Source organism: Homo sapiens, chromosome 7 (assembly GCF_000001405.40).
Source record: "Homo sapiens chromosome 7, GRCh38.p14 Primary Assembly".
Classification (NCBI taxonomy): Eukaryota; Metazoa; Chordata; class Mammalia; order Primates; family Hominidae; genus Homo; species Homo sapiens.
Window position 1 is genome coordinate 136,172,186 of NC_000007.14, and position 27,785 is coordinate 136,199,970.

The window sequence follows — 27,785 nt, forward strand, 5'->3', positions numbered from 1 at the left end:
TGTGGGATGGAGTGAAGCAAGAAGAAGGAAGCCCTATGTCCTAACTACCTCCCACTGTTTGTGACAGTCCCTTCTTTACTTCCTTAGAGGCCTGAGACTCTGATAATCACAAACAGTTTTCTTAAGGAATCTAGTTAGTTCTTAAAAACATACAACTGCTTCATTTTATTATTATTATTTTTTTGTATACAGAGAAGCAAAATTCAACCCTTCCAACCTTCAGAAACTGAGAAAATAGATTATCTTTAGGTATTTGAAATTCTTTAAGAATTGCTCTAATTGTATGTCTTTGCTTAAATAATGAGCAGAAATGTTAATTAATAGTGTGTCCTTTGGAACTAACCCAAATGTCCATCAATGACAGACTCGATAAAGAAAATGTGGCACATATACCCCATTGAATACTATGCAGCTATAAAAAAGGATGAGTTCATGTCCTTTGCAGGGACATGGATGAAGCTAGAAATCATAATCCTCAGCAAACTAACACAGAAACAGAAAACCAAACACCACGTGTTCTCACTCATAAGTGGGAGGTGAACAATGAGAACACATGGACACAATGAAGGGAACATCACACACTGGGGCCTGTCGGAGGGTGAGGGGCAAGGGGAGGGAGAGCGTTAGGACAAATCCCTAATGCATGCAGGGCTTAAAACCTAGATGATGGGTTGATAGGTTCAACAAACCATCATAGCACATGTATAGCTATGTAACAAACCTGCATATTCTGCACATGTATCCCAAAACTTAAAGAAACATTTAAAAAGTGTCTTATTATTTTTAGGTGTACTTATTTTAAAGCATACTGTTGTGCTTTATTTCTAAAAACACAGTGAGTGGAGAAGTAAATTAATACCCAGCAACCATGATAGGAGGAGGTTTGGACAATGAGGTCCTCATTTAGACACTGCCATCCTCTTGGGAATAGCTCGTTTTAATTTTGGTCAAAATTGTTAAGAAAATGTAACGAACTTCTTGAGAACTGGCCTCAGAACCCAAACTTATAATGCTCTTGGAAATACCACAACACAAAAGCTGCATTTAATTTCTCTCCTTAAAACATCTCTGCTTTTCCACTTCTTCTATTTTGCTCCTTACTTATTATTTTGATTATGTGCTTATCAGGTTAAGTACCTTACAAGTATCTGTAGTAAGAATATGTTAATTGGTTCAGGGCTTCTCTTAAAATAATTGAAAGCGTCTGCTTATTTGTTTTTCTTAGAAACTCAGCCTGTGAATCAAACTGCTTCTAATGTAGAAAAATGTATATATAAAATACATCTATATGTTTAGATTGAGTTATTGTCAAAATATATTAAATCCTTTTAGAAAATGCCAGAATTGAGTTCTTTTAGAATTCAGTGTCCTTGTATTGAATTCTTTTAGAATTCAGTGTCCTTGTATTGAATATTTCCTTTAATGTCTATTACAGGATTACAGAACAAAGTTTCACTGATTAAGTTGCTTTCAGTATTTTTTTTTATTGACAACTCATATTTAAGTTGTAATATTTAGGGCTGTTATTACAAACTACATACCCTTGATGGATTGTTTACACAATTGTATTAAGATTAAATATTTTGACTTATGGCTCAATTTCTATTATTCTAGGGTAAAATTATAGGGTAGTCAGACCAGAAATCAGGCAGACTTCTATGTCTTCTTTGCGAGGATACAGTTAATTACTTCTTCCTTTTTGTAAGGCCATGAGCCTGATAAGATATGAAGTTCCAGGAAAAAGTGTTTTCCAATAAAGCTTCTTTTATTCTGTACTACAATTATATCAAGTGATAACCAAATATTACCCCCACTGGTTTCTCACCCCTCTGCGGGTGAGATTTCTTTCAAGTTTTGGCCGGTGACGGAGCCTCGTGTTCTAGCTTAAATAGATCAAAGAGCTTTCTCATTGTCCAGCCCTTTGCTTTTGTTTTGACCACAGCTTTCCTACGGCTGGGGCCACCATTTATGCTTTTAAGGAATAGAGATGATTGTCTTTTATAATATGTAATTTCAATTTTCTTTCTCTGAAAGGCAAGGTTTATCTTCTAACAGAAACATAACAGAGGAATAAGTATGAATAATTGACCGGGACAAGAGCAATGTTTAAGAATATTGCAGAACTTTCATGCCTTTATTCTTTTCCCCTTTTGTAATTTGGATGCATTATGTTATCTTTTGCAATGAAATGGCCAAGGCATTGTGGTCCTGTGGATTGGATGGTATTTGACAGTTTATCAAATCCATCCCTTCCCAGGTGCAAAAAGCTTTGTCACATGGCTAACGATCAAAAGTCTGGCTCTGTAGGACTTTTCAGGGTTCTTTTGGTAGAGTAGTTGGTATGACAGTTACCAAATGCTTGTAAATCATATGGAGCAAATCAGAATATTGGAGAGAATAGACACCAAATGAGAACCTCCTGACATTTTTTGTGCCAGAGCAAGGCTACACGAATTGAGTAAAGGCCTTCCTTAAAACGATGTATAACAAAACAGGAAGTAGCTTCAGAGTGGCACCCGGGAGCCCATAACCAGGTATGTTGCCCTATTTAGAAATCATATTAGGACTGAAATGTGGGTATAATTATTATTGCTATTTTAAGAGAATTGCTCTTAGACATCCTTATAGAGGAACAAGAATTTTCTTTTGTGGCAATACAGAGCCTGAGAAAATGCAGTATGGTTTTATATCTACATAAACATATGTCATATATATAAACTCTATTGCTATTGCTTATCACTAATTATGCAGTTGGCTGTGGAAAGCTATGAGTCACTGAAATGAACAATTTGAACATATGCAATTGATCATTTTTAAAACAGGAAGAAAAAACCATGCTATTTCTTGTTTGCTTTTAAAGATATTGCGGGTAACACGTGTTCCATATCATCTGATATTATACACAGGAAGAAGGTAAACTTATTAATTAAAAAAGTCTTGCAAAAGGAACTTGCAGCCTGCATTATGTTAGTAGTTGGTTGCTTTTTAAATACGAAAGAAAAAAGAGTAAATTATGTACTCCTGAAAATTTGATCCTTGTTCTTATGGGAAAATATGGCAAAACATAGAAACTCTGTTAATGGCAAAACTTATTAGGATAAGGACTCCTCGCCTGGGGTTCAGGGAAGTGTTTGAAGGTATATAAAAATATATCTTAGTGAAAAAAAGTAATTATGTTCTTTTTCTTAAAACTGCAAATAATCCTATAGTGCTTTGGTATTACATGGTCAGTATTATTTTCATTATTCATATTAGGAGTTAAAGAAAAAGAGCCCTTTCATTTTGATTGTATTATTTTTTATATCAAGCCTAGTTAATGTAGATAATGTACATAAGGAAAAATCTTGATGAAGCTGAAATAGTCCTCAGTTTTTTCTCATCACAGCATGATAGGACATAAAAATCAAGTGTTTCTTGTGTAATGCTCTTGCCAGTGGAAATACAAAGTTAGTGAACTTGAAGAAGCAGGATATTTGGGTCCATTCTGAAATTACTGTTAGATCACAAGAATCATTTTTACTAAATTTTGTGAGACTAAAACTCAATCAACAGAGAATAAAACTTTACTAGTAGTTAGACTTGTCCCATCTGAAACTTTTATATTCTGAAGCAAAAAAACCCATGTACACTAGAGATATCTTGGTGATAACATGTGTCCTAAAAATGATGCTTTCATGCTTTAGGTTGGAGTAGAGGAAGACAATGGAAGTGTGGCTTTTGTCAAAGGTTGACTTCCAACAGAGAGACATCTGTCTGCTACTCACATCATCTATTGGATGCCTATTGTACTTAGAAAAAAAAATCCACACGTAAATAACTTACGTGGATATATGGTTAGATATATATATTCTCTATTTCTGTAGTTTATGTTAGAGTTTTGGGGAAGAGGCTGGAGGCAGCCACCCATGCTAGTTGTCAAAAAGTGGGAACTCAGCTCAAGATGTTTTTCACCTGTGTGAAGAAAACTTTCTGATACAGTATAAGGAAATGTTTGCAAGATTTTGTGTAGATGTGTTATGTGCATTTTTGTGGGGACAAGACCTGTACCTTTTATTAGACTCTCACAGAAGGCCATGGCTCCAAAAGTTCCAGGTTTTTCTGGTGTTTGAAGCAGGAAGTGTAAGGTAACACCATCTTATTTCCTATATAAGGATTACTTGAAAACTCTGTGGAAAGATTTGAATAGAATTAGAACCAGATCAAGACATTTTCTATGCAATAGGAAAGTCCTTAAGAAAAAGCTAAGTGGTTCATGTTATTATGATAAAATCTAATGTTAATCTATAAATAACTTCTTTTTAGTATTAAAATAAATCCTTTTATCCTGAAAAAGCAGAATCAGTTAAAAAAGTAATTGCTATTGAAGCCTTGCTATCCCCTGAGCTAGCTCAAGTGTGAGTCAATAACAGCTACAGACAGTAGCTGAGGCCTGATGCAACCCAAGTTTATTTTACTCTACTCTGCTGGACCAGGGAAGGAAAATCTGGTAATAGTATTAGTAAAAACACTATTAAGGGGGGGATTAAGGTTAAGTTTGTAAACATAGCCAAGAGTACTTCCTTAGCATTTTTTTCTGTTTAATTTGAAAACCTGATAAATAGAAAAATATGCTGGACTGTTGGGAATACAATAAAATAAACTCTCGGCCAGGTGCAGTGGCTCACACCTGTAATCCCAGCACTTTGGGAGGCCAAGGCAGGTGGATCACAAGATCAAGAGATCTAGACCATCCTGGCCAACATGGTGAAACTCCGGCTGAATTAAAAATACAAAAATTAGCTGGGCATAGTGGTGCGTGACTGTAGTCCCAGCTACTCGGGAGGCTGAGGCAGGAGAATCACTTGAACTCTGGAGGCGGAGGTTGCAGTGAGCCAAGATCACACCACTGTACTCCAGCCTGGTGACAGAGTGAGACTCCATCTCAAAATAAAATAAAATAAACTCTTGTTGCATCCGATCTGAGCTGCACCAGACTTTTACTGGAGACACAGTGTTCACAATATATAATTGAATCATAGTACCTTTTACAATTTTAGTTAGAGATTTTTAACTGTTACGTCTTTTAGTTTTCAGCTTTCCTCCACTGTTTTGGGAAACGTCACCTTCTTATCTTGGAAGAGTAATCTCAAAATTGAAGCATCTTAGATCCAACAAGAATTAAAAGGATGGGAAGTCCTTGCAGCCATCCAATAGAGTCAGAAGACTTTGGATTTTGGAGTCTGTGAGATGTGAGTTTAAATGCTGAGCTTGGTACTTGGTCTTTCAACTTTCCTTTATGAATTTACTAACTCTTGGTCCAGTGTCAGTATTTAGCAGGGGATGGAATTCATGTCCTGCTTTGGTTTAATCCTAAGTACCTAGTCCTGGTGAGAGTGATAAGAAGAGCCAGGGGCTGTTATGGTCCTTATGCCTCTGAAATGTTGTAGACTTTCCTTATGGTACTTGTGCTATTCTTTGTGAGTTGTATGACCTTGGTTAAGCTACTTAACCTCGAATCTCAGTTTCCTAGTTGTAAACTGAGGCTAATATCTACCTTTATAAGTCATTAGAAGAACTACATGTAATATTTTTAAACCCCTAGCACAGTGCTTGGCTTAAGTTGTGAACCATTTGGTTCTGACATTTGACGTCTAGTTTCCTCTTGAACATCTTTAGGAACACAAAGGTCATTACTACATGAGAACACCTCTGCTGTTGTAGCTCAGTTCTCACTGATAATCAGTTATTGGTCCTGGTTTTGCATTCCCAGCAATAATAAGCTTAACTGCTCTTAGTATAATGAGTTTTACAATGTTTGAGGATGGACATCATGTTTCCTCTTATAGATCTCGTAGCCACAGTTTATCGAACTATTTATTGTAAGAGATTATCTCAAGGTCCTTTTCCCTTCTGGACGTAATTTAGAATTATCAATTTCTCTTAACAGCCTGGCATCTAAAACAGGGTGCAACATTCTGGAAGTGGTATGAACAACATCAGCCCAGAATAGTTATTCTGTCATCTGCAAACTGGTCATTTCTAACCTTAGTTAGAAAATTTTATACTTCAAATCTTAGGGGGTCTCAGTTTTCTCATTTATAAAATGAGTTGCTTAGAGCCAGGTGCGGGTCTAGCACCTGAACTCCCAGCTACTCAAGAGGCTAAGGTGGGAGGATAAATTGAGCCCAGGAGTTTGAGGCTGCAGTGAGCTGTGACTGTGTCACTGCACTCCAGCCTGGGTGACAAATCAAAACTCTGTCTCTTAAAAAAAAAAAGAGTTGTTTCAGCTGGGTGCTTTGGCTCACGCCTGTAATCCCAGCACTTTGGGAGGCCAAGGAGGGTGGCTCACGAGGTCAGGAGATCGAGACCATCCTAGCTAACACGGTGAAACCCCATCTCTACTAAAAATACAAAAAATTAGCCGGGCATGGTGGCGGGTGCCTGTAGTCCCAGCTACTCGGGAGGCTGAGGCAGGAGAATGGCGTGAACCTGGGAGGCGGAGCTTGCAGTGAGCCAAGATGGTGCCACTGCACTCCAGCCTGGGTGACAGCGAGACTCCGTCTCAAAAAAAGAAGTGTTGTTTCAATCAAACAACACATAGGACTGCATCTTGCTTTGAAATATAAAACTCAGTGTTACCCACATATGTTGATGTTGTATTTCTTAGATATTAGAGCTCATGTTTAATTTTACTAAGCATTTCTTTTTAATTGAGCGTCTGCTTTGTGCTAAACCCAGTGAGCTGTAAAGGACAGAACTATTCCTCCTTAATGTGCTTATATTGCCTTAGCAATAAGACACAAAATCAAGAATATTATACAAAGAGGAGAAGTGTCTTGTCCTTTAGTCATTCGGCTTTCACACAATGCATAGTTTATATCTTTAACAAAAGTTAAAGTTATTATCAACAACAGTAGTCTATCCATTAACAGATTAAAAACTGATGTTGGAAATGGAAATGTCTTATAAAACTATGTCTGAGGCTCTTATCCATAGAGAGCATGGAAGAAGCTGACCAGGGCACCTCTCCTTAGTGCTGTATTTTAGAGCTGAGTCTGAATTAAGAGTCACTGAGCACAGCCCTCCTGTTATTTCCTTGAGGCTGAGAACTTTCCCTCCTTTCTGAAATAGTATCAACACCAGATCAAAGACACAGTAGTCCTCTGAGACCCGGTCGATTTAACACTCAGCGTTGTCTGGTAAACCACTCTCTTTTACTGTGGCTGGAGAACATGGAAAGTTTTTCAGCAACCTCTTACATTGTGAACTTCAGGCCTCGCTCTGATGTGGTGTTTCTTCTTCCTCATACCTAATATTGTTGGGGACATTCATAGGCAGAGATGGTTGAGGGGAACTTGTGTCTCGACAACAAATGAGAGACTGGTAAAAATGATCTGAACAACAATGAAAAAAAATCAATTGCCCTTATTTTTTTTCTTTTCAAAAAGTGAAAGCCGTGTTTGCTTTGAGATGAAACATTTGAGAAGCTTTTCTTCTTTAGGTGATTCCATCCCTCCTTGGCCTCAGCAGGTTCCTGCTTGGAAGTAAAGAACCAACGAGAAGGCAGGGAGCAAGGAACTGCCTTTTCCAAGGAGACCCAGGCTGCTTGGCACCTGCGCCTGCAGAGGCTCTTATCCACCTGCTGCCCCAGGCCTTGCCTAACTGAAGGGGCCAACACTATCTGTCTGCCTCAAGAGGGGATCAGGGCAGAGTCCTCACATTTTTTATGAGAAAAACGTCCCTTAGCATGTCTGGAATATTTTTTCTCTAGGCTTGTTCCAACTTGAGCTCATTTTGCTCTAATTATTTTGGCCTATATGTTTCTGCATCTGTCTATTCTGATAAGAGGGATGTGTGTGTGTGTGTGTGTGTGTGTGTGTGGTGTGTGTATGCGAGTGTTTTGTCTTTCTCTTTTTGCCATAGTGTAGCTGCTTAAAAGCTACAGATAAACAGGCTATTCAACACCAAGCTAGGGTAATCATAGATGACATGGGGTGACCTCAAAAGGTTTAATTCTGCCTTTTGTTTGAAAGGCAGAGAACTTGAAAGAGCAAGTGTATCTCAGCATGAAGGGAGAGGATCCCAGTTCACACTAAATAGTTCCTTCTCTGCAGGCAGATTTGTGAGCCTCACAGTGTCTGCCTTTTATGGGGACAAGCCCTTTAAAATCCCTCCTCTCTCTTCTATCATGGTCTATTTAAGGCTCTTATCTTCCAAATGGCATCCTCTCATGAGCAGTTAAACTTGCCCTACTGTGCCAGCAGATATTTTACGAGTCCATAATTAAGAAACTTGGTTTTATATGGATCCTATAAGGTCTGTTTGTCAATTCTGCAGATAAACACTTCTACCCTGGAGATATCCCAGTGACAGGAACCATATGTATGTCATCACATCCAGATAAATGTCTAATGTCACTTGGTTATTAGCCTGATTTAATAACCAGCTTTACCCTTATTATCACGTCACAATTTGTGGCATGCCAATTATGTGCCAGGCTCAAACAAAATTGAAATTGTATTCAAATGATGAACTCTTAAAACGTATCCTGAAGTCAAGTAAGTTGTTGAAGCCAATGTCCAAATAATTTCATTGAAAAACTTTTATGTAAGGAAAGTAGTTTAATTTTGGTAATGTTTGATCTGAATGATACAGATTAACTTTGTGAAATAAATTCACTGGTTCATTGATCAATGCCTCAATTCACTTAGCACAGACAGGCCAGATATTGTCAAGGCCTTCAAGTGTTATGCTGGGACATGGGGGTCCTGTGATATGTAGTAATCCTAGCTATGAAATCCAAGACTAGAAGTCCAGGTAAGGGGGAGGTATCTGGCAGACATGTCAGGTTGTGACAAAATGTCAAGTTGAAGGAGGGAAGTTCAGGTAGGGAGTAGTGCTGAGACCCATGCAGGCAGGATCCACAGTCGGGGATGTTTGGCTCAGCAGAGGAGGCAGGAGGGGTCAAGTTTGAATTGAGATCTGCGGCAGATCTCTTACTTCTTGTTCATTTGGCAGGATGTGGGTAGTCCTGTGTCTACACATGTGTCATAGTCAGAAGAAAATCAGAGGCCTGTGTATGGGCTTTGTCCGTAAACAGCGAGTGAAAGGGATATTGTAATAGTAGGATGACTTCCTAATCGGTACCCAGAGGGGAAAGACTTCAGTGACGGTGGTCGTCAGGTATGCTCTCCATCTGCTGGACACCCTGGTACTTCTACTAGGGGAAGGAGTCTCTTCAGGGCTCTGCTCTCAGCTTGTAATCTTACTGCTCCCTTCTGCAGTTTGCTTTTTCTTTTTTTTTTTTTTTTTCTCGAGACAGAGTCCCACTCTGTGCCCCAGGCTGGAGTGCAGTGGCATAATCTCGGCTCACTGCAACCTCTGCCTCCCGGGTTCAAGTCATTCTCTTGCCTCAGACTCCCGAGCAGCTGGGATTACACGCACCCGCCAACATGCCCAGCTAATTTTTGTATTTTTAGTAGAGACGGTGTTTCGCCATTTTGGCCAGGCTGGTCTTGAACTCTTGACCTCAGGTGATCCACCCGCCTCGGCCTCCCAAAGTGCTGGGATTACAGGCATGAGCCACCATGCCCAGCCCGGCTTGCTTCTTTTGATATCCACATTCTGTCTTCTCTCTGCGATATCCGTTGCCCTATAAACAACTTCAGAATTCCCCTATCTTAATAAATAAAAATGCCCCCTGTGTCTTACTCCATTCAGGCTGCTATAACAAACTGCCTTAGCCTGGGGTGGCTTATAGACAACAGTAGTGTATGTCTCAGAATTCTGGAGGCAGGGAAGTCCAAACGAAGGTGTGAAGATGTGGGCAGATGGCACCTTCTTGCGGCAGTGTCCTCACATGGTGAAGGGGCCTATGAGCTCCTTTGGCCCTCTTTAATAAGGACACTTAGTCCATTTATGAGAGCTCTAGCCTCATGATCTGATCATCTCCAAAGGCTTCACCTCTTGATGCTGTCACGTCGGGAATTAGGTTTCAACATATGAATTTTGAGGGAACACAGACATTCAGAAGTTAGCACCTTGATTATGCTTTCATATGGAGCTATCTTGTATTTCTCTTGCTTTTGCTGTTTAGCACCAAACCTCCCCAAAGTTTGGTTTATGTTCATTGTTTCCTTTCATTACTACTCACACATTCAGTCCTGCACAGTCCATCTTCCTGCACCCTCTTAGCTTCTGGAATTCTTCTCTTGCGGTCACCAACCTACCCATAATCACCAAATTTAGAGTCTTTCCTCATCCCAATTCTCCTTACCCTATCTACTGCTTTGCTTCTGAGGCTGTAGGTAATGCCTTCCTAGTTTAAGCTCCCTTCCCTGGCTGCTTCAGGGATTCTGAATGATGTCCTTGCCTTTCTTCTCTGGCTGTATCTTTTCTCCCTTCCCTAGCCTTTGTCTGCAGCCCTAATGTGGGTCATTTTAAGACACAACTGGCTGGGTGTGGTGGCCCACGCCTGTAATCCCAGCACTTTGAGAGGCTGAGGCAGGCAGATCACTTGTGGTCTGGAGTTTGAGACCAGCCTGGCCAACATGGTGAAAACCTGTCTCTACTAAAAATACAAAAAATTGCCAGGCGTTGTGGCACATGTGTGTAGTCCCAGCTACTTGGGAGGCTGAGGCAGGAGAATCACTTGAACCCGAGAAGCGGAGGTTGCAGTGAGCCGAGATTGCATCACTGCATTCCAGCCTGGGCAACAGAGCGAGACTCTGTCTCAAAAAAAAAAAAAAAAAAAAAGACACAAGACACAACCTTTGGCATTCTCTCTTTCTGCCCTTGGTGAGCCCTCTTTCCTTCAGTGCCATGATTCTGTCTTCACAATCTCTATTTCTGGTCCTTACTTTCAGTTTTAGTTCTCAAAGCTTGTTTTCTACAAACCATATTTATGTAAATGTCTACCTGTAACTTAGAGTTAGTATACTTACAACTAAAATCTCTCTTTCTTCCCTCCCTTTCACTCCAGGTACTAGTCTGTTTTCATGCAGCTAATAAAGACATACACAAGACTGGGTAGTTTATAAAGGAAAGAGGTTTAATTGACTCACAGTTCCACATGGCTAGGGAGGCCTTACAATCATGGCAGAAGACAAAGGAGATGCAAAGTCACATCTTACATGGCAGCAGGCAAGGGAGCATGTGCAGGGGAACTCCTCTTTATAAAACCATCAGATCTGGTGAGACTTATTCATTATAACAAGAACAGTACAGGAAAGACCCACCACCATGATTCAATTACCTCCCACCAGGTCTGTCCCACAACATGTGGGAATTATGGAAGCTACAATTCGAGATGAGATTTGGGTGGGGACACAGCCAACCCATATCACCCCAGTTTTCCTTTCTGATGTTTATTGTGTTCCCAGCATCAATACTTCCCTAGGTACCAAGACTCAAAGCCTTGAAATCAGCTTTTCTTTCTTTTCCTCGCTTCCCACGTCTAATTATTCACCATAGTCTATCACTTGTTTCATAGCAGATCTCATATCCTTTGCTTTACTTTTCTTCTGCTATGAAATCATGTTCAGCAGTTAATTGTTAGTAGTGTAGTAGTTTCCTAACTGATCTGTTTCTACCCTACACACCTGTGGTAGGCTGACTAATGATCCCCAAGGATAACCAGGTCCTAATCCCTGGAACCTGTGAATGGTACTGTCTAAGGTAATAGGGACTATGCAGATGTGATGAGTTAAAGATCTTGCAAGAGGGAGATGGTTCTGGATTATCCTTATAGGCTCTAAACCTAAACACAGGGTACTTACAAGAGGGAGGCAGAGGGAGATTTAACCACACACAAAAGAGAGAAGGCAATGTGATAGACTGAGAGAAAGAGGAAGGAAGAGCAAGAGAGAGAGAGTGGAAGAAGAGAAAGAGAAGGAGAGAAGCCAGCAAGAGAGAGAGTTTTGAAGATGGAGGAAGGAGGCCATGAGCCCAGCAATACTACAAATGCTGCTCGGGAAAAGGAAAGGAAACAATTCTCCCTTAGAACCTCTGGAGGGAGCCTGGCCTTGCTGACATGTTAGTTTCAGCCCAGTGTAATGGATCTGGGATTTCCGATCTCTAAAACATTAAGAGAATTAATGTTTTTTAAAGCTACTCAGTTTGTGGGAATTCATTGCAGTGGCTCTAGCAAACTAATATAAGCCCTCTGATTCATCCTACACATTTTGGCCAGATTAATGCTCCTAAAACATAGCTTTCTGAATACCCAATTTATTACTCAGTTTACCACTTCAATTATGCTAAATTAACATTATTGAATATCTCCCAAGTAACAAGTTCTGTGCTAATTCTGCAGATACAGGCATCAAGAGGACAGTTTCTGCCTGCTCCTTGCTTATATTCTTTCAGAGAAGCTACACAAACCAGCAACAATTTGAATAAAAATCAATCAGGGACATTTTACAAGCATGTATGGGTCCCTTTGAGAACACAAAAGAGGGACAACTCCTTTGGTATTCTGGAATACAAGACCCACAGTTTAGGTTGTATGGCTGGTCATGAGAAACTGGAAACAAAGCATCTATGCTCCTCTTTAGAAGAAAACATAAGATCAGAAATATGGCTTTGCACTTTAAAAATGGAAATTAGCTTTGAATCAGTAAAGTGTGTGCCAACTAGATTGAGAACTTCTGTCAAGCTTTTGACATGCAGGGGGAAAAGATAAGAATCGTCTTTGTGTATAAACTTTTTAGTTTACATTGTTGTTACACATATTAGTATGATTTACAAGATTCCCTAGTTCCAAATGCTTGTGAAACATCGTTTGAATAAATAACATAAGTCATAAAACAATGGTTACTGTGAAAATTAATGATTCAAAAATTGCATCAGTTGATGTAAACAGTAATTTTACTGTTTCTTAAAGAAGCATTGTATTCCAACATTACAAAAACTTCAATTTGTGATTTTCTTATGACAAGAGCCATTCTATTTCCCCACTGCAGAATATATTTGAAAATAAAATGATTCTTGACTCTGCTGTTTTTTTCTTTTTCTGGAACTCAAACATAACTGAATGCTTTTGGTTATGCTTACTTCTCTTCCATAGGAAGTAGTGAGACCATAAAAGCTTTGTATGTCATGCTACAGAGTTTAAAACTCATGCTGTTGCTGGAAGCCTATGGAAGAGAACTTTCTTTAAATTTTATTTTCAAATGTGGTAAAATACACATAACATAAAATTTACCATCTTAACCATTTTTTGGGTGTATAATTCAGTAGTATGAGGTAAATTTACATTGCTGTGTAGCCAGTCTTTCTTTTTAAAATGTATTTTTAATTTTTGTTTTACTTTAAGTTCTGGAATACATGTGCAGAACGTGCAGGTTTGTTACATAGGTATACGTGTGCCTTGGTGGTTTGCTACACCTATTGACCCGTCATCTAGGTTCCCTCCCCTTGCCCCCAACCCCCAACAGGTGTTGTTCCCCTCCCTGTGTCCATGTGTTATCATTGTTCAACTCCCACTTATGAGTGAGACATACGCTGTTTGCTTTTCTGTTCCTGTGTTAGTTTGCTGAGGACGATGGCTTCCAGCTTCATCCATATGCCTGCAAAGAACATGATCTCATTCCTTTTTATGGCTGCTAGTATTCCATGGTGTATATGTACCACATTTTCTTTATCCTGTCTATCATTGATGGGCATTTGGGTTGATTCCATGTCTTTGCTATTATAAATAGTGCAGCCAATCTCTTAAACTCTTTTCATCTTGCAAAATGGAAACTCTACCCATAAAACAACTTATCTTTCCCCTCTTCCCTCAGCATCTGGCAATCACTATTCTACTTTCTGTCTCTATGATTTTGACTATTCTAGGTATGTCACATGAGTGGAATCAGTATTTTTTTTTGTGACTGAGTTATTTCACTTAGTGTAATGTCATCAAGGTTCATTCACGTGGTAACATTTGTCAGAATTTCCTTCCTTTTTAAGGCTGAATAATATGCCATTGCAAGTATATATATTTTGTTTATCTGTTTGTCTATGGATGGGTACTTGGGTTGCTTCCACATTTTGTTACGGTGAATGTGCTACTATGAACATGGGTTTGCAAATATCTCTTCCAGACCCTGCTTTCAGTTCTTTTGGTTACAGAGATAGCTTCTCGCCTTACGATGAGGCTGTGTGCAGATAAACCCATTGTAAATGGAAAGTGTGTTTTGATATTTTCAATTTAAGATGAGTGTATTGGGATATAACCCCATCGTAAGTCAAGGAACATACTAAATGTATATCACTTTCACACTGTTGTAAAATCAAAAAATCATTAAATTGAACCATCTGAAGTCTGAGACCATCTGTGTTCCCAGAAGTGGAATTGCTAGATCGCATGGTAGTTCTATTTTTAATTTTTTGAGAAAATGCCATAATGTTTTTCATACTGGCCACACCATTCTAAATATCCTCCAACATTGCACGAGGATTCCATTTTTCTACGTCCTCCTCAACACTTTTTTTGTTTGTTTTTGTTTTTTGATAGTAGCTGTCCTAATGGTTGTGAGGTGGAATCTCACTGTGGTTTGAATTTGTATTTCCCTAATGATTAGTGATGTTGAACATCTTTTCATTTGCTTATTGGCCATTTGTGTATCTTCTTTGGAGACCCATAAAAAAGAATTAAAACAAGGACATGCCATAGTCAAATTTAGGTTTTGGAAAGGTCACAATGACATCAAGTTGAAGGTGAATTATAGTGGGAGTGACCAACTGTAGCGCAACCAGTTAGGAGGCGATTGTAGTTTCCGTGTTGATGCTTTGTTACTTTCAAAGAAAAGCCCTCATGCTGGCATTTAATTCTGTCCACATACTGGCCTCGTTGTTCTTTCCAAATTCCCCTCTGTTATGTCTTTTCATGAATTCTATGTCCTTTTCAAGCTGGGTCATATGTCTTATTAGCATTCTTATCTCAAAACTTTGAGGCTTTTTTTTTTTTTTTGGTTACAGAAAATGTACTTATGTCTGGTTTTCTTACCTGGGTATAACTGCATAGTTTTCCTTTAGGACGCATCTTTGTTTCTCTCCTCCATAAATACTCTGATGTCCCCAGTTTGGTGGATTATTTCTCTCTCTCTCCATCTCTCTCTGTCTCTGTCTCTTTCACGGATGGCTGTGGTATTCATGAACACTTACGCATCACTGATAAGTTATATGTGTGGATGGAATTATAAAGTCCTTGAGAGCATAAATGTTTTCTTGTATCTCTATATATCTATGTCATTATATCCAGAACTTATTTGTGTGTGTATATGTGTGTGTGCAGGGTAATGATTAGTAAATGTTTGTTACTGATAATAAAAATGAGTTTGGGAATAGTTTGAATTATGTTGCATTTATACAACTGAAATTACCAGCATAATTTGCCTCTTTATGCACATAAAATTATGGTTCATTAACTTAGTCTCAAAATACAATTACTTTCTCTCAAAATATTCAGATTTTGTAAGCAGTAGAATGCCAAACAATGTTTTAGGAAGGAAAACTAACATTTTTTAACATCTTCTATGGGCCAAACACTATACCAGGCCCTTTACACGTGCTACTTAAACCTCACAGTAATCCTTTGCAGTAGAGATTCATTTTTTTAAAGTGGTTTAGAGAAGTTTGGGGAGATTACAGTAAGAAATGAAAAGTCAGAGAAACTGAGTAGGTAGCTGTTGTACTGGTCCTGGACAGAATGTTCAAGTGCTGAATTAGTCCAGGTTGGTAAGAATGGGGAAGTAGAGAATGGATTCTAGTAATGTTTAGAAGGTAAAATAAACATTTTTGTGTCTAGTTGGAGGAACGAGGAGACAGGAATCTCAAATTTTTGGCTTGAGGCACTCAGTATAATCTGGCACCATTCACCAATGTAAGAAAGAAAAAAAGCAGAACCACAGAGGAACAGAGGAGTGAAAATGTACAAAGAAAAGCAAGTCAAAAATTTAGGAGAGAAGTCTGCTTGAAAAGACAGTCTTAGAGCCATTCAACACATACGTATTGTCAACACCATCCCAATAGTGGGGTTCAGGAACAGCTAGCAATAAGACAGTGCATTATCTGTATAGACTAAAATGAAATAAGAGGTGCTGTTTTTATTATCAAGTGTCACAATGCTTGTGATAAAATGTTCCTCCCTGAAAAAAAATCTGTTATTCTAAATTCTAAACAATTGCTGCAGTTGTTACTGAGTTTTAACAATACATTTGCAAGCTTCAGATTAGCACATTTTTATTCTTTGTTTCTTCACAAACATTATCTTCTTTATTAATTTGGAGAACTCCTGTTATATATTCAGCCCCTGACATGTGTGAAGTCAACTGCATGATTAGTTTCAAGAGTAAGTTTATAATAGTTTGAACTCGCTTTGAGAGCAACTCCTATTTCCATCCCCTGTGATACTACATGTTTCTGCATTTAAACAGTAGATTAGGAAGAAATAATGTTAGCACAGCAAATGGTGAATAAGAAGAAACAGAACTTGGGTTACACCAATTCTGTCATACCATTTGACAACCTGGAATTTTTAATTTGTGTTTGAATTTAAAACAGTAAAACAGAGCATGAAACTGGTAAGTCCTAATTTTAGTTCATATATGAAATATTTTACTGAACATGAATCATATTTTAAAATTTAAATGTATTCTTTATTGTGCATTGCATAAACATTAAAAAGCAAATCAAGAAAATAATGATGACTACTGATGATTTCATGATGATTACTAGAAACAATTTTGTTGTGTAGAGGGAGGGAGTGGTAAATAATGATCTGCACTGAATGTCAAATATGCCAGGTGAGCCGCTGCATATTACACACCTCTAGTGTCTGAAGAGCTGTTCCAGGCCCTGCAGACTTAGCAGCAAATAAAGGCACGAGGGTTTAAAGATTGGCATGGAGAAGATGGCCTAGAGAAAGAATGTAGAAAGGAAGCGAAGATGACCCACTCCAGAGCTGTTAGAAACACAAACTTCCAAGAGGTAGACTGTAGAAGAAGAGGACCCCCCAAAACAAGCAAGAAGCAGATAGAGTGGTGGGAGGAGAGGTAGGAGAGAGTAGAGTCAGGGACATTAGGGGAGAAGTTATGGGAAAGATGGCTGGTCAACAGCATTCAAGTGACTAAGAAGACAAAAAAGAAAATGGCTGGAAAGAACCCTTTCGGTTGACCATTAGGAAGTGGGGGTGAGTTTCTTTAAAAAGTCTTTGCTCTGAATGGGAGAAGTAAGGGCAGTTCAAGGCAGGAGAGCACTATCGAATAGAAGGGGTGTTAAATTATCTTTTCTGATTCTACAGTACATGCAGGTTCATTGTTGAAAATGTGGCCAAAGTTGGAAATTGAAGGAGCTATGAACTCATGTCCCTTGCCTTAATTAGCCTTTGACTATGAAATAGTTATGTCTTCATCATAAATCCTTAAGCCTCTCCTGTGTGCTAACAAAGCCTCAGGCCCACTTCAGAGTGCCCTTATCTTTATTTTGGTCCAGACTATGCGTTTTACTTCTCTCTTACTTCTCCTGCTTCAATTGCCCATGCCTATTGGCCGCAGGCTACCTGGAAAGCCATCACTGCCCGTACTTATGAGAACATTGGTATCTGTGCTGTGCATACCGTCCAGAAACGTCAGGGCTCCATCCAGAGGCAGGCCCTGCTCCAACACTCAGCCAGGTATATGTGGCCAGCTGGGCCTCCAGGGAGCTCAGCCTAGCCCAGAATTGCATTCAGTCTTGGTGAAAACCTCTGTTACCCTTTGGCCACCCCCTCTTCTTCTAAAGGGTGCAACAGAACCTGAGGAACTAATAAATATCCCTTTTGTTTTTCTCCTTTCCCCCAAGTTTCAACCCTTTTCTCTCAAAAGCAATATCCTCTCCCCAAAATGCTACCCTCTCCTCTCTTTTCCATTTAGCCTTTTTCAGATTTTCAATCTCGGATTTTTCCAAACTTTGCCACTTGAGCACAGTTTTCTCTTTACCCATGCATAATTTAGAAGATTTGCTACAGCTTTTCTTCTTCTTCTTTTTTTTTTTTTCCCAAATAAAGTGCCTGCCCTTAAAGGTGAATTCAAATGTGAATTCAAATTCAAATTTCCATCCCTTGTTAAACAGAAAGTACTTGAAACTGAAATTACATTTTTTTTTCTGACTTCTATTCTTCCATTTCATCTTAGGATACATTTTTATTCATGGCTAAAACACCAAGTACTCTACCATGTGTAGAAGCTGTTCTCCAGCAATTTCTGTAAAATGGAGAAAAAAATAATAGAAGAAAATATAAGTTGGCCTTTAATCTTACCAACATATCATGTAGATTCCCTCTTTGTAAGTCCTAGCGCATATTTGATGCTAAATAAATATGTTGGCTAAACATAAAAATATATACAGAAATTGGGATCATACTGTGAATGTATATTTTATCCCATTTTCCATAAAATTAGTAAAATTTTTCTTGACTTTAACTACTCTTTAATTTTACTTTCATCATTCTATTGTATGATTTTGATTATGTAGCATAAATTATTTAATCACTTTCCTATTGCTTACCATTTAGGCATTTTTGTACTGTAATAGATTCCCTAATATAAATATTTGCACGTCTACTAATTTTCTTTGGATTCTGTGTTAGTCAGGGTTCTCTAAAGGGACAGAACTAATAAGATATATGTATATAGGAAGGGGAGTTTATTAGGAGAATTGACTCACAGGGTCGCAAGGTGAAGTTCCACAATAGGTCATCTGCAAGCTGAGGAGCCAGGAAGTCAGTCCGAGTCCCAAAACCTCAAAAGTAGGGAAGCCGACAGTGCAGCCTTCAGTCTGTGGCCGAAGGCCTGAGAGCCCCTGGCAAACAACTGGTGTAAGTCCAAGAGTCCAAAACTGAAGAATTTGAAGTTTGATGTTCAAGGGCAGGAAGCATCCAGCGTGGCAGAAAGATGAAGGCCAGAAGACACAGCAAGTCAAGTCCTTCCACATTCTTCTGCCTGCTTTATTCTAGCCATGCTGGCAGCTGATTAGATGGTGCCCACCCAGACTGAGGTTGGGTCTGCCCCTACCAGACCACTGACTCAAATGTTAATCTCCTTTGGCAACATCCTCACAGACACACCCAGGAATAATACTTCGCATCTGATCCAGCGCGGTGGCTCACACCTGTAATCCCAGCACTTTAGGAGGCCAAGGCAGGCAGATCACCTGAGGTCAGGAGTTGGAGACCAGCCTTACCAACATGGAGAAACCCAGGTCTCTACTAAAAATACAAAATTAGCCAGGCGTGATGGCGTACGCCTGTAATCCCAGCTACTCGGAAGGCTGAAGCAGGAGAATCGCTTGAACCCGGGAGGCAGAGGTTGTGGTGAGCTGTGATCATGCCATTGCACTCCAGCCTGAGCCTGGGCAACAACAGTGAAACTCTGTCTCAAAAAAAAAAAACAACAAAACTTTGCATCCTTCAATCCAATCAAGTTGACACTCAATATTAACTATCACAGATACATTTCCAAAAGTGGAATTACTGGATTAGAAGCCTTAGGACAGTGCTTGGTGCAAAGTAAGTATTCAACAAATATTTGAATATTTGAATGCATATTTGAATATGCAATAAATATTGCAATGATTTGAATGGAGGTTTTTTGATAGTTATTTCTGAATTGTCCTTCAGGATCATTATACATCTGAACATGTCCCTTCAACACTGCCACTGCCTCCCTCTGGACTGAATTTCTCTGTATCATCTCTTGTGTTATCTTTTAGTCTTTGTTAATTTTATAGTAAAAATTGTGTCCTTTTTTTTGTTTCTCTTTTGAGACAGAGTCTGACACTACTATCACCTAGGCTGGAGTGCAGCGGTGTGATCTTGACTCACTGCAACCTCTATCCACCTCCTGGGCTCAAGTGGTCCTCCTGCCTCAGCCTCTTGAGTAGCTAGAACTATAGGCTTGCCACCATGCCCAGCTAATTTTTTTTTTTTTTTTTTGAGACAGGGTCTCATTCTGTTGCCCAGGCTGGAGTGCAGTGACATGATCTCGGCTCACTGCAGCCTCCACCTTCCTGGGTTCAAGTGATTCTCCTGCCTCAGCCTCCCAAGTAGCTGATATTATAGGTGTGTGCCCCCACGCCCGACTAAGTTTCATGTTTTTAGTAGTGGCAGGGTTTCGTCATATTGGCCAGGCTGGTCTCGAACTGCTGGCCTCAAGTGATCTGCCACCTCTTTTAGTCTTTGATAATTTTATAGTAAAAATGGTGTCTTTTTTTTTTTCTTTTTTGAGACAAGGTCTGGCTCTGTCACCTAGGCTGGAGTGCAGTGGTGTGATCTCGACTCACTGCAACCTCTGTTCACCTCCTGGGCTCAAGTGGTCTTCCTCCTCCTGCCTCAGCCTCCCAAGTAGCTAAAACTACAGTCATGCCACCATGCCCAGCTAATTTTTTTTTTTTGGAAACAGGGTCTCATTCTGTTGCCCAGGATGGAGTGCAGTGGTGCAATCTCAGCCCACTGCAGCCTCAGCCTCCTAGGTTTAAGCGATTCTCCTGCCTCAGCCTCCGGAGTAGCTGGGATTACAGGTGTGTGCCCCCATGCCTGACTAAGTTTCGTGTTTTTAGTAGTGACAGGGTTTCATCATGTTGGCCAGGCTGGTCTCGAACTCCTGGCCTCAAGTGATCTGCCACCTTGGCCTCCCAAAGTGCTGGGATTACAGGCGTCAGCCACCATGCCTAGCCTGATTTTTGTATGTTTTTGTAGAGATAGGTTTTTGCCATGTTGCCCAGGCTGGTCTCAAACTCCTGGGCTCAAGTGATCCACTCGCCTCGGACTCCCAAAGTGCTGGGATTACAGGCATGAGCCACTGCGCCCAGCCATTGTTTTTAAAGTTTGTATATCTTTAAATAATAATGAGGCTACCTATATTTCTGTCTCCACATTTGGCCCAATCCTTTTATGAACTGTCTATTCCTGTGTAGAGATTTGCCAAGTATGTTTACAGATTGGTGAGAAGGGATCACAACACATCTTTACTCCAAGTTCCTGGTCTCTTGGTGTTTGTTGTGGGTCTAATTGTGTCCCCCTCCCTGCAAAAAGATATATTCAAGTCCTAGCCCCTGGGGCCTGTAAATATGACCCTATTTGGAATAAGGCCTTTGCAGATATAGTCAAATTAAGATGAAGTCACACTGTATGACTGAAACATGACTGGTGTCTTTTTAAGAAGGGAGAAATGTGGACACAGAGATGCACAGGCACACAGAGGGGAAAATGCCACATGATGATGGAGGTAGAGATTGGAGTGATGCGTCTACAAGCCAAGGGACACCAAGGATCACCAGCAATCACCAGAAACTAGAAGAGAGACATGGAACAGCCCCTCCCTCAGAGTCCCCAAAAGGAACCAACCCTGCCAACACTTTGACTTTTTGGGCTTTTGGCCCCCAGAACTGTGGGATCATACATTTCTTTTGTTGAAGTCACCAGGCGTGTAGTGCTTGTTAAGGCAGCCCTAGGAAACTCCTTACTTGGCTAAGAATTTAGAGCTTACCATAGGTGGCTGCAGGGAGAGGAGGCCTATTAAGCATCCTTTGTCTTGTTTCTCTTGACATTTATTCTCTGAGGGGCATGTTACTGTTGGTGACACTGTTGAGCACATTGTGGCCTAAATCCTTACCTAGGGGTGGGGTGGGAATGCAGTCATTGCCCAAGAGTTCCTGAGCAATAACTCTCCCTTCACTTCCCCAATTCTCTGGAAAACCTATCTCTCTATGATGCCCTTTGCCCATTTTTTCCAAGTAAGATTTTTTACTGTTTCTTATTGATTTGTAGTAAGTCTTTATATATTAAGGAAATCAACTTTTCATTTGAATTCCTTGTTGTAAATATTTTTGTTGTTTGCTTTTTCCCTTTTCATTTTGTTTATTATGTTTTAGGAAGTACACAAGCTTTTGATATTTGTCTGTTTAAATCTGCATCTATGTATCTACGTGCATCTATCGATCGATCTATCATCTATCTATTGATCGATCGATTGATCGATCTACCTACCTACCTGTCTGTCTGTCTATCTACCTACCTACCTACCTACTGCTATCATTTCTAGGTCTTTAAAATTTCAATTGTTTATGCCAGGAAAATCTTCATGTGTTCAGAGAGGGAAAATGTTCATGTGCATTATCTTTAAAAAAATTGATACATAATGTTTGTACAAATTTATGGGGTGCCTGTGATAGTTTGTTACATGCATAAGATGTCTAATGATCAAGGCAGAGTATTTAGGATATCCATCACCTAAAGCATTTATTATTTTTATGTATCGAGAACATTTCAAGACCTCTCTTCTAGCTATTTTGAAATATATAATACATTGTTTTGAACTATCATTAACCCACTCAACTATTGAACATTAGACCTTATTTCTTCTATATAACTCTATGTTTATACCCATTAACCAAAACTCTCTTCATTCCCCTTCTCAACCCTTCCCAGCCTCTAATAACACTCTACTTTCAACCTCCTTGATACTAATTTTTAAGCTCCAACATATAAGTGAGAACTTACAATATTTGTCTTTCTGTGCCTGGTCTATTTCACTTAACATTATTGACCTTCAGTTTCATCCATGTTGGTGCAAATGAAAGGAATTTTTTATGGCTGAGTAGTATTCCATTGTGTATATATGCTACATTTTCTTTATCCATTCATCCATTGATGGACTCTTGGGTTGATTTCATATTTTTGCTATTGTGAATAGTGCTGCAATAAATGTGGGGATGCAATTATCTTTTTGATATACTGATTTTTTAAAAATAGATATCCAATAGAGGAATTGCTAGATTGTATAGTACTTCTACTTTCAGTTTTTTGATAAATCTCCATACTGTTTTTCAAAATGACTGTACCAATTTGCATTCCCTCCAACAATGTTCCTTTTCTCTGCATCCTCACCAGTATCTGCTATTTTTTGTCTTTTTGATAATAGCCACGCTAACTGAGGTAAGATGATATCTCATTGTGGTTCTGATTTGCATTTCCCTGGTGATTAATGGTGTTGAACATTTTTTACATAGCTGTTGGCTATTTGTATGTCTTCTTTTGAGAAATGTGTATTCAGAAACTTTGCCTACTTTTTAATGGGATTATTTGTTTTTTGGCTGTTACTTGAGTTCCTTGTATATTCTGAATATTAGTCCCTTATCTGATGAAATGTTTGCAAATATTCTCTCCCATTGAACAGGTTGTCTTTTCACTCTGTTGATTTTTTCCTTTGCTGTGCAGAAGTAAGCTTTTTAGTTTACTATAGTTCCATTTGTCTATTTATGTTTTTGTTGCCTGTGCTTTTGCAGTCTTAGCCATAAAATATTTGCTTAGGCCAATGACCTGGAGTGTTTCTCCTGTGTTTCTTCAGGTACTTTTATAGTTTTGGGCCTAAACTTGAAGTCTTTAATCCATTTGGAGTTGATTTATGTTTATGGTGAGAGATAGGGATCTAGTTTCATTCTTCTGCATGTGGATATTCAGTTTTCCCAGCACCATTTATTGAAGAAGATGACCTTTCCCCGGTGTATGTTCCTGACTCCTTTGTTGAAAATGAGTTGGCCATAATACATGGATTTATTTCTGGCATCTCGATTCTATTCAATTGGGTTATGCGTGTGTTTTTATACCAATACCATGCTGTTTTTGTTACTATAGTCTTGTAATATATTTGGAAGTCAGGTATTGTGATGCCCCTAGCTTTATTCTTTTTTTCTCAGGATTGCTTTGGCTATTCAGGCACTTTTTGGTTCCATAAAAATTTTAGGACTGTTTTTCTCTTTCTGTGAAGAGGAATGCTGCATTGAATTTATAAATTTTTTTGGGAAGTATTGCCATTTTAACAATATTAATCCTTTCAACCCACGAGCATGAAATCTCTTTTCATTTTCTGATTGTCCTCTTCAATTTCTTTCATCAATGATTTATAATTATCTTTCTATAGAACTTTCACTTCTTTTGTTACATTGATTCCCAGGTATTTAATATTTTTCTAGCTATTGTAAGTAGGATTGCTTTCTTGATTTTTTTAAATATTGTTTACTATTGGTGTATATAAATAGTACTAATTTTTGTATATTGATTTGTATTGTGCAACTTTACTGAATTTATTTATCAGCTCTAAGGGTTTTTTTTTGGTGGAGTCTTTCGGGTTTTTTTTAGGTATAAGATCATGTTATCTGCAACCAAGGCTAATTTGATATCTTCCTTTCCATTTTGGGTGACCTTTATTTCTTTCTCTTGCTTAATTGCTCTGAGTGGAAGTTCTAGTGCTATGTTGACTATGAGTGGTGAAGTTATGTGTCTTTCTATTGCTTCAGTTCTTAGAGGAAAGGCTTTTGACTTTTCCCCATTCAGCATAATGTTGGCTGGGGTTTGTGATATACAGACTTATTATTTTGAGATATGTTCCTTCTATGTCTACTTTGTCAAGAATTTTCAACATGAAGGGATGTTGAATTTTATCAATTTTTTTCTGTGTCTATTGAGATGATCATATGATTTTTTGTGCTTTATTCTATTGATATGATGTATCACATTTATTGATTTTGTATATGTTGAATCATTCTTGCATCCCTGGTATAAATCCTATTTGATCATGGCATATTATCTTTTTGATGTGCTGTTGGACTTAGTTTGCTACTATTATGTTGAAGAGTTTTGCATCTATGTTCATCAGGGATACTGGGCTTAGTTTTCCTTTTTTATTATGTCCTTGTCTGGTTTTGGTATCAGCCTGATGTTGGTCTCATAGTGTGATTTAGGGAGAATTCTTCCTCTTGCAAATTTTTGGAAGTTTCAGGAGTTGTATTAGTTCTTCTTTATACATTTAGTAGAGTTTGGCTATAAATATATCCAGTCCTGGGCTTTTCTTTTTTGGGAAACTTCATTACTTTTTCAGTCTCACTACTCATTACTGGTCTGTTCAGGTTTTTTATTTCTTTCTGATTCTGTCATGGTAGGTTGTAGGTCTCCAGAAATGTGTCCATTTCCTCTAGCTTTTTCAGTTCAATAGCATATGGTTGTATATAATAGTCTCTGATGATACTTTCACTTCCAGATATAGGAACCCCTTAAACATTTCTTGTAGGTCTGGTCTAGTGTCAATGAATCCCCTTATTTTTTCCTTGTCTGGAAAAGACTGTATTTCTTTTTCATTTATAAAGGACAACTTTGCGGGTTATAGTATTTTTGGTCAACATTTTTTCTTCTTCCAGTGCTTTGAATATATCCTATCCTCCCATTCTCTTGGCCTGTAATGCTTTTGCTAAGAAATTCACTGTAGTCTCATGAGGTTTCTTGTATAGGTGACTAGATGCTTTTCTCTTTGTTTTTATAATTCTCTTCTTGTCTTTAACTTTTGACAATTTTCCTATAATGTTCCCTGGAGAAACTTTATGTGTTGTATCTACTTGGGAATCTGCATTAGGCCATTCTTGCATTGCCATAAAGAAATACCTGAGACTGGGGAATATATAAGAAAAGATTGGCTCACTGTTCTGCAGGCTGTGCAGGAAGCATAGCTCCAGCATCTATTTCTGGGGAGGCCTCAGGGAGCTGCTTTACTCATGGTGAAAGGTAAAGCAGGAGAAGGCAACTCACATGGCTAAAACAGGAGAGAGAGAGAGAAGGAAGATGAAGAAGAAGAAGAAGAGGAAGAGGAAGAAGAAGAAGAAGAAAAAGAAGAAGAGAGGAGGAGAGGAGGAGAGAAAGAGAGAAAGAGAGAAAGAGGAGAGATACAGACTTTTTAACAGCCAGGTCTCATGAGAACTCACTCACATTGTGAGGAGAGCACCAAGGGGATGGTGCTAATCCATTCATGAAAAATCCACCTCCATGTTCAGTCACCCCCCACTAGGCCCCACCTCTAATACTGGGGTTTACAATTCAACATGAGATGTGGGCAGGCACCCATCTTCAAACTCTATCAGGATAACTGGGCTTCCTGTATCTGGATGTGTAAATCTCTTGCCAGACTTTAGAAGTTTAAAGCTATTATTTCAATACATAGGTTTTTTTAAAAATGCCTTTGCTCTTCTCTTCACCTTCTGAAATACCCAAAATTTGTATATTTGGTTGCTTTATGATGTCCCATATGCAATGTTGGCTTTCTTCTTTGTTTTTTTTTTTCTGATTGGGTTACTTCAGAAACCTATATTCATGTTTCTTCTGCTTGATCTATTGTTTAAGCTGTTGAATGTATTTTTAATTTCATTCATTGAATTATTCAGTTCCAGGGTTTCTTTTAGGTTCTTTTTTTAAGGTATCTATCTCTGATACATTTCTCATTCGTATCCTGAATTTTTTTCTAATGTTTTTGTGTTTTTTATCTGTGTTTTTAATATCTCACTGAGCTTCTTTAATATTATTATTTTGAATTCTTTACCAAGCATTTCATAATTTTTTTCCATTGAAATTTTTTGCTAGAAAATTATTGTGCTCCTTTGGAGGTGTCATATTCTCTAGATTTTTAAATGTTTCTTCTGTCCTTATTTCAATATGTGCACATCTAGTGTAACAATCATGTCTTCCAGTTTTTTGAATTGTCTTTTGTAGGGGAAGATTTTTCTTAAAGGTGTATCTATGGTGTTGGTTGTGTAGGGCACATTAGGTGTGATTCTGGATGTGTACAGTAGTGTAGTCTCTAAATGATTTATTTGGCTGTAAATAGCATCAGTGGTGTCTGTCATAACCTCAGTGGCTTAGGCTGTGGTTATTAGTGGAGGCTGTGATGAAGCTTTGCTGGGGTCAGGGATGCTAAATGAGCCAGTCCTTGGGTCCCAGTTGTGGCATCAGTGGGTGGAGCATGCCTTTCTTTGCTCCTCTGGTCAATGAATGCAGGCATGTGGTAGGCTAATTCATGGGCCTCCAGGTAGCTTGCTTGGGTGTGGTTGTGTTAATGGTTGACTGGGTGAGTGAGAGGCTGCCTGGACCCCTGGGCAGCATGTATAGGCAATGACGGTAGAAATGGCTAGACAAAACGTAGCCTCCCTGGGCATCACATACTGATGTTAGTGGTGGCAGCAGTGGACTGGATGGGCTGGCCTCCAAGCCTTCAGGTGTCGGGTGAGGGTGGGTGCTGATAGTGGTAATGGCAGTAGGTTGGGTGGGCCTGTCCTCAGGCCCCAGGGAAGAGTGCAGATGCCAGTGGTGGTGAACCAGCAGGGTGATCTCCAGGTTACCAGATGACATACTTTGGCACCAGTGGCAGGTGTTCTGTGTCTGTTGTTAAGTCTGCTGGTCATATGCCCACGGTAATTGGTGGGGTTAGGGTCGGGGAATCCCCAGGCTTCTGGGCAGTGTGCTTTGCCACTGTGGGTAACAGTGCCAGATTGGGTAGGTCTGTCCTTAGGCCCCCCAGTGATGTGCATGGGTGCAGGCTGTGGTGGGCTGGCTTGGGTGATCCCCAGGTCACCAGGAGGCATGCTTGCGAGATGATGGCAGTGGTGGTAATGAGCAGGGATAACTTGTCTTTAGGGTGTGTGCAAGTGCACTATGGTCTTGATGCTGGTGAGGGCAGGGTTGCTCTCAGTGGCAGGCGGCTCTCAGGCTCTGGGGAGTGCACACATTTTTTTCTTTTGTCCCAGGGGGAAGCCTTCCAGGTGTGTTGACTGCCTATTCCCTGGACTGTAGGACATTGTATGAGCTAGAATGCTGGGCATCCTGCCTAACTGCTGGATCCACTGGTGTTGCACCACTGCAGCCCTCTGGGTGGATGCAAGAGGATGTCAGTAGGGCTCCAGGGATACGGAGATGCAGGGGCTGTCAGGATGCAGTCTGGTGGGATCTGAGCTCTCATAATGGTGCT

General features: G+C 39.4%; 1 long non-coding RNA gene across 13 annotated transcripts in view, besides 1 other annotated feature; it reads left to right on the plus strand.

The window, feature by feature from the left end:
- Nucleotides 1-27,785, plus strand: part of LOC105375523 (uncharacterized) — a 459,019-nt gene that overhangs the window by 191,239 nt on the left and 239,995 nt on the right. For 11 of the 13 annotated variants that reach the window (NR_187954.1, NR_187953.1, NR_187955.1 and 8 more), the window contains one exon: nt 5,067-5,228. The exons of the other annotated variants lie outside the window; for them this stretch is intronic. This is a non-coding gene — a long non-coding RNA (uncharacterized LOC105375523). The remainder of the gene's footprint in view (nt 1-5,066; nt 5,229-27,785) is intronic. 13 annotated transcript variants of the gene reach the window in all.
- Nucleotides 26,082-26,282: a silencer, noted in NCBI's record as "peak6755 fragment used in MPRA reporter construct". NCBI's record gives its function as "represses an SCP1 promoter by STARR-seq MPRAs in K562 erythroleukemia cells {active_cell/tissue: K562}" and the evidence as "EXISTENCE:reporter gene assay evidence [ECO:0000049][PMID:32103011]".